The 7,790-nt window shown below is 39.8% G+C and overlaps 3 annotated features.

The window, feature by feature from the left end:
* Positions 714-1,214: an enhancer, noted in NCBI's record as "H3K4me1 hESC enhancer chr3:107700178-107700678 (GRCh37/hg19 assembly coordinates)". NCBI's record gives its function as "activates a minimal SCP1, AML or CMV promoter by ChIP-STARR-seq in primed H9 embryonic stem cells {active_cell/tissue: H9 hESC(primed)}" and the evidence as "EXISTENCE:reporter gene assay evidence [ECO:0000049][PMID:30033119]".
* Positions 1,215-1,715: an enhancer, noted in NCBI's record as "H3K4me1 hESC enhancer chr3:107700679-107701179 (GRCh37/hg19 assembly coordinates)". NCBI's record gives its function as "activates a minimal SCP1, AML or CMV promoter by ChIP-STARR-seq in primed H9 embryonic stem cells {active_cell/tissue: H9 hESC(primed)}" and the evidence as "EXISTENCE:reporter gene assay evidence [ECO:0000049][PMID:30033119]".
* Positions 5,116-5,175: an enhancer, noted in NCBI's record as "active region_20207". NCBI's record gives its function as "activates an Ori minimal core promoter by ATAC-STARR-seq in GM12878 lymphoblastoid cells {active_cell/tissue: GM12878}" and the evidence as "EXISTENCE:reporter gene assay evidence [ECO:0000049][PMID:35858748]".

The following is a 7,790-nucleotide window of genomic DNA, read 5'->3' on the forward strand; positions in this document are numbered from 1 at the left end:
ACAAAGAAGGCAAATAGTCCTGTAAACTATGATATGGGTTACAGTGAGAGCTGGTTACATACTTCTGCTCCCTAGCAGCCATGAAGACCCTAATGACCAAATGCTCCAGTCTCCCAAATTCAGTGTCTCTCTCCAGTGAATAGTGTCATACCAACAATAAAAGTATCTGCCTCTCTGTTTTGACATTTTTCTAAGCCCCCAAGACTTTTTCCCTCCTGTGACTCATTAATTTTATTCTTTTATTCAAGAAATATTTGTTGAACATCACCTACTATGTGCCAAGTGCTGGGAATACAAAGGTGAACAATACCCTAGATGCTTTCATGCCACTGGTTTTACTATGGCTGAGTTTTGCTGTAGATTTAAAAGCCATTCTTTCTTTCTAAGGTGATTTTGGTGTATCTGATCTGATCCATTTAGGCTTCAATATTGATATCCAGCATAGCACTATTACCTAACTTTCCTGAGTGAAAATCTTATTGCTTCAACAATATTTTAAGCTCCTAGAAGGCAGAGAACAACACTCTTTCTCATGGATCCCTTGTGGTATCTAGGATAACGATGGGTACATAATAGCAGCTAAATATGTGTCTCTTTATAAGAGACATCATGTTTCTTACTAGCCATAAAAAAGGGAGGCAGTCTTATATGATTTTATTTTAGATTCCCAAACCAGTGGTACATAGGTTAAATCCAGCCAGCAGATATGTTGTATTTGGTCTACACAGTGTTTTTGTAATTGAGCCAACATTTTAAACAGTTAGATTTCATATACACACATGTGAGTGTGTGCACATGCAAGAATTCCAAGCTTCTCTGGATTTTCAGCTTTCCTTAAGAAACTGGAAGACCTGCAACCCTTGGCCTTATACCTGATAAGCAAAAATGCTGGCATGAAACTATGCCTGACCACTTCAGGGAGCAAGCCTTCCCAGTATGTTGCAGTCCCTGTCACTCCGTGTCTCATCACACTTAGCCTGCCTCACTTACATAACAGCCTCATCCTGAGGCACTTGAATCTGTGACCTCTGTTGTACACAAAGCCAGGGATATAGGGAAAGGGGAGAGGAAATATCCTCCTCAACACACTGCAAAAGAACAACTCTGCACTGCTGCTGTGTTTCCTGGCACACTGGAGGTGAGGACAGGCTCGCAAGCTGTGCAGTGCACCTTGGCCAGGGGCGATGCTTACAGTGAGCCTTCTCTGGAATGTTGGTTATTCCTGCCGGGCAACATACTGGGGCTCCAAATGGCCTGTCTCCTCTTATCCAAATGATTCCAACCTGCTTCCCAGGCCTTTGGCCAACTTCCCCGAACCCTGTCTCAGCAGCTTCTGGCTCATTGCTCGCTGACACGGCCACCTCTGCTCCTGCCAAGGAAATCTGCTGGCCTTTGCTTCCCCTCCCCACCTCCATCTCACTCAGTTCCTCCTCAGGCCACAGGCATGCCTGAGTGGCAAATGGCAGCAAAGAGGAAGGTGAAAAAGGAAGGAAGAACGGGAGGAAGGGAGCCCGAGAGAAAACATTCAGAGGAGGGAGTTTATGTACATTATCCAAATGGATGTCAGGTCCCTGTCGACAAAGATTTTAATTGTGTGTGGGTATGTCTGTGTGTTGTGTGGGTATGTAGGGTGTGTGTGGTAGTTTATGGGGAGAGGGAATAAAAGGAATAGTACAAATATATTCACAACTATTATTCAAACTAGGGGGAAAAAGCTATAAAGATAATGAGCTTGTGACACAGGAGGCAAACATCATATACAGGTGGAGCTGTTTCCCTGTCAAGACACCAAATATATATATGTGTGTGTGCATGCCTGTTTATGTAGAAATACACACACATGTATGCATTTCTTTTTTAGATTATAGGTTATTTGCCTATTATAGAAACTTGAGAAACAGAATATTTAAAAAAGTAAACATAATGGAATAAAAATCAGAGACCCTTATCACTCAGAGATATAATTTTTAATCTATTTCCCATTTCTATGTATACTGCATATTATTTTATATGGCTGAGAATTTATATTGAATATTAAATTTTGCTAGCTTGCTTTTTTCCTTTTAAAATATCAGACCTCAATGATATTAAAAAAACTATAACCATCATTTTAATAGTTCCATTACATCCATAATGTGGATTTTCATAATTTACTTAATCTCCAATGTTTAAGCATTTAGATTGATAGCACTTTTCGACTTTTATAAGTATCATGCTAGTGAACTATGATCAAGTCACTGCACTCCAGCCTGGGTGAAGGAGTGAGACCCTGTCTTTTAAAAAAAGGAAAATAACACACTAATAATAAACATCTTTAGGCATCGATCTTTGCATTTAGCATTCTTTCTTTCGGATAAGTTTCTAAAAATGGAATTACTGGACAAAGAGTAAAAGTGACTTTAAATTCATGGGGTATGTATTGGTAAATTGCTTTCCTAAAGGTGATACTACTTTATCTTCCCAACATCCTTATATAAAGGTGGACACTAGAAGGATTGCTGAAATTTTCTAGTGGACACACCTAGCTAAGACATCTAACCATCTACAAGAAGGGGTTATTTTATCATATAATTTATACATGACAACAGAATATGTCATTTAAGAATAATCAAAGTCACTAGCTGGAGTTTGCCTATTCCACACCTGCAAATCAGTCTTTCTAAGAGATATATAAGAAACTCCTGGGTTTGTTCTCAGGTACAGCTCTAGGGTCTTCACTACTCCCTAATTCCATCTTTGGTCCCAGCACAAACCCATAGCATGTCACACAATTGCTTGTGGAAGAAGTAGCACCGTCTCTGCCACTGCCAAAGATGGCTGCCTTCCTACCATCCTAGTGGCCAGAGCGGGAAGTCCGTCACTGCCACAGAAGTGCCTTGCAGAGCCTGTGGGGCCCCATTTTATTTCTACTGCCAGTTTCATTACCAAGTCTCTCCCAGTCTTCTTCCAATGTGTGATCATTGTTTCCCCTCCTTTCCATACCAAACATCTCTCTCTGAAATGGAAGAGAAGAAATATCCCTTCAAGTTTACCATAAGTAAGGCAGTGCTGTCTTGTGCCTTCAGATTTTTTTGTATGTTTATTACTGCTGTTATTATATTTTGCTCTGTATCATATAGCCCTTTCTCCTTATAACTTATGGAACTGGTCCAAATGAGGCTGACTTGGTAGCCAATCTGGCATCCGCTATTGAACCTGCATACCTAAGGAAGTTACTGCTTAACTCAACTCTCCTGCTTCTGCCTGGAGGGAACACTGCCCATCCTGTACACTGCCGGAGGCTGGGTGAGGGGAGGGTGTTTAGAGGTAAACTTTGTTTTCCTCTGGCTTAGGCATTTTAGAGCCAGGGTTCAGTGGTCATCCTCAAAATGCCCAGTCAATTTTCCATGCCGCGAGGCCCCTTGGTATCCGAATGATGGCTTGAAGTTTGCCCACAGGCCTAGTAGACATCCTTGAAGTTTCAACTTGTATAGACTGTAAGCCCTTCCTGGAGACTCAGTTATGGACCATTCAATATAAAATATGCAGTGTGGTTTTGATGTTTAAACCCAATCCCTTCCTCCTAAGAAATAGTAAAACATCTCTTTTCCTATCTTTTCTTAGGGATTGTCATCCTGATTCTCTATCTTTTGCTAATCCTTTTGTATTTTCATTCAGTTTGTTTCAAATTGGTCATTTCCATTGGTCAATTCCAGGAATTTATATTATATATAAAATAAATATGTTTATATATATATTTTTTTTACATTCACCATTTTACTATAAAGGATGCTACAAAGATACACATGAAGAGATGCATAGGGCGAGGTACAGGGGAGAGGTGTGGAGCTTCCATGCCTTCCCTGGGTCCACCACCTGCCAGGAACCTCCACATATTCAGCTATCCAGAAGCTCTAGGAATTTTTATATTAATTGCAAAAAGTTCTCAGTCTCTCTGTCTCTGAGCTTCAGCTATCTGAATTTGGCAACATGTGAAAGGTTTTGATACCTCCTCCTTCACTGGCCAGAAGAGAGCAACTTGAAGGCCGAATACAGTCTGAAAAGAATTCCCTATTGTTTAAAAATCATGGCCCTATGATGAACTCTAAGTCATAACATCGATCATTTCTCTAGGATGCAGCTCCCTAAAGATTTTACTGTCTAACTGAGCGAATTGTCAGGGAGATGTTCCCTACACCCCAGTCTTAGAAACTCTGGGTCTGGAGTGATGACAATTCAGCTGATAACACAAATTGCTGTGATGTCCCTTTTGGGTTTTCAGTTTTCTATTTTTTTTTTAAAGCCCATCCATGAAGGTAACCCATGTAGGTCTCTTTCTTGTTAACTTAAAGACCCTACCTAATAGACTTGAGGATTAAATTAAGTTTATCTGTTTTTAATTTTTTCCTCATTTTATAATTCAGATCTATTACAAGAAATTTTAAAAAATCAGTTAGCAAAAAATAAAATCAATAAAAAATTGCCTGCAATTTACCAAGATAATTTTTTGCATATATTCTGCCAGACATTACATATATATGTGTGTATATATGTATATATATATATGTGTATATATGTATATATATGTGTATATATGTATATATATGTGTATATATGTGTATATATATGTGTGTGTATATATATATATATTTAAATGAAAATAGGATCCTACAGTTTGGTAATCCTTTTTCTTTTGTGTAAAGAATAATGTCTGCTTTGGATTAACATTAAACTTGAAAGTGACAATTCTTCAATTTTCCCCATAGTGAATAGATTTTTCTGAAAGTCAGGTAAGAACAAACCAAAAATAAATGCAATAGCTTATAGCATCTCTAGGTTGTGTGCATGTTGCACTTCTTCTCCTCCTCATTTTTATAGTACTGGTAAATGTAGAGATGAGATGACAGGGAAGAAAGGAAACTATACCCTGTCAGGTCATCATGCTACCTCTACCTCTCTCTACACTGGGTCTTGGCTTATTTATTTTTGACCAACAAAGGAGCCTCCTCTGGGTAGCATGACAGGCCTTTTGTAGCTTTGGGATCTTAGGCAGGCACCAGTTAATCATCACATAATAACAGGAAGTGGGTCCTACGGCTGCCTCATGTCGGGCTGTCTCGTTTTCACTCAACTGGGTGTGGTTACGACATGGAAGTGATGACCAGAAGCTCCCACCAGAGTGAGGGGTCCACCCTCTTGATCCCCTGACACAAATACTTCACCCACTTTCTCTGTATGTTGGAGTCCAAGGCTTGACAGACCCTTTTTATTAAATATTTCAGTTATTTTACTGAGTGTTCTCTACCATCATTTTAGGTGGTTTATAGAGGTGAACTTGCTACAACTTCCTACTTCATAATCATCACAATCCATATTAAAAAATATTTCCGCAGCTGTATTGCATGAGACACAGCTTACACATACTTTAAACACTAATATTTTTGGGTAGTTTAAATTGTGACACTCAGACAAATATAAAATGAATAAATGTTATTCATTTATTCATTTTATATTTATATTTATAAATAAGGTTTTATTTATTTGACTCTAGCTAATGAGGAAGCAGTAAGATGTTACAGCTGGTTCCAAGAAGAAGCACATATATATGCAGGAATGCTGAAATGAATAGGTGAAAAACTGATGAATATCCTCAGAGCAATAATCAATTGCATTTCAGCAGACACAATTCACTGCTTTCCTTTCTATGGATAAGAATATTTTGCATGATCAGTTTTCCATAACTTACAGAGTTGTAAAATAGCTCAGAGACAATGAAAGTTAGACATGACCCCTAGACAAGACACTCAGTGATCCTTTTTACCCATTTAAAAATCTTTCATATTTCTAATTGGAGTTTGTGCGCCCCTGCCTTTGCTGCAAGATTCTTTTCAGTGTAGCTATTTGCCATTAAGCAACGTGGACGCAAGCAAGGGAGTAAATAGTACCCAATGGAGAAGCTGCTCTCATGCAAAAGTTTATGGCCACACCCTCTTGATCACCAACTGGTCCCTAAGAGATTGGGAAGAAAAAACAGTAAGAGGCTGGCTTGCTTAAGTGAATTCCCTTAATGCCAGTGAAGTATCTGAGCAACCAATGGGATTCCAGATAACACAGGGAATAGAAGCCTAACTTGTCCCGTCAGATCATCCTGTTCCAAGAACCTCATTTTCATCAGGGTCAGAATCACTTTCGATGGAGTGAAGCTGTGAGGTCAGGTTGCCCTATTAGACTGAGCCAGAGGGTGACTACAGAGTGAAATCAACCAAATTCACACATTTTTTAAAATACACATTTTCTTACAACCTAAACAATTTAAATGTTTAAATCATTCCCATCAGCATCAGCTTCACTGGGATTGTTATTAATACATCTTCCAATTCTACTACTACCATTAAAATAACCTTCAAACAGGCCTGCCAATGCTCAGCTTAAATCATCTTTAAAAACGTATGTTTATAGAACTACCCAGAGTAATGTGTGGTCTCTGGAAACCATCAAGGGGAAGCGTTATGAAATTTTCTATTGTAAGCAGCAGACCAGCTCTCCAAGGGATTTCCCAGACTGCCCGATAAAATCAGGCCTCCTGGACAGGAGGTGAAGTCCTCACAAAGTACAATAGATACTTGTTTTGGCAACAATCCAGATACTCACCATTAATAGCTTCTTCTAAGTCAGTTTGATTATAGCTTGATTGGGAGAAAACACCCTCCCTGTCTACTTTGCCTACATGAAAGGCATGAAAGAGGTGGGGCAGAGGAGAGGCCTTCTATCATTCTCTAAGACCTAGAAATCTACTTTCACCGGAAGGCACAGACTTCACAGAAGAATTGAGCAAGAGCCAGCGTGGAAATATTGGACAGCTTCCCGGCAACTCTTGAGTCAGGTCATTATTGTGCAGTTTCATCACTTTGTTTGAAGGGAATTCCCAGGACTTCAGGCGTATTCAGGTTCATATGTTATGCAGAAATGCATTCCAAAATCAAAAATACGGTTACTGTGATTTGGGACTTTCTACCCCTATACTTCCTGCTATTCACTAATATAATTATGCATGTTTTATAATTAGAGTATGTTAGGATACACATTTGCATCTTGTATGTGGTTGGGAATACATTCTCAAATCTATTTGTGGGCCCAATAAGCCATGTGACCATGGCAAGTTTCCTCATGGCTCTGTATGTCAATGTACTCATCTGTGAGCTAGAGGCAGGGGTACCAGATGGTCTTTCAACTCCCTTTGACTCTACACATACATTTCCATCTACAAACTAAGTCTGAATTCCTTTAGAAAAGGTGTCAAGAGATTTGTGCCTGGCCAAGACCTTGGAGGATGATGGTGTTGCACTTCGTCTAGTTATTCAGGTAAAAGTAATGACTACTTATATATCTTTTTAGGGTCCCTCTGCTAGGGTTAAGCTTCATGAAGCAGACATGACATCTTTCTTGCTCAGCACTGTCTCCCCAGTGCCTAACACAGTGCCTGGCACATGCAAAGCCCTTGGTAATTATATGTTGAATGAATGAAGGTCACCAGGAGCCTGGATTCTTATCTGCTCAACCTAGGTGGTGAAGAAGCCTGGTGAGACTAGGATTGGGAAAGTTCCCCCAGCTGCTCTGACCTTAAAGGCAGAAGAAGACTCCAGACAATGGTGACCACCTTCTGGGGCCTCTTCTAGCAGCTGAGGCTGCAGGATCTGCAATGCCCAATCCCTAAACCTTCCTAGCCATGTCCTCACACTCCAGGACTGACAATATTAACACATCCCCTGCAGCTCTATGCTTGCCTGGGCTCTACCTGCAGAGATGCTGGG

The sequence above is a fragment of the Homo sapiens genome, chromosome 3 (assembly GCF_000001405.40).
Source record: "Homo sapiens chromosome 3, GRCh38.p14 Primary Assembly".
In the NCBI taxonomy this organism is placed as follows: domain Eukaryota; kingdom Metazoa; phylum Chordata; class Mammalia; order Primates; family Hominidae; genus Homo; species Homo sapiens.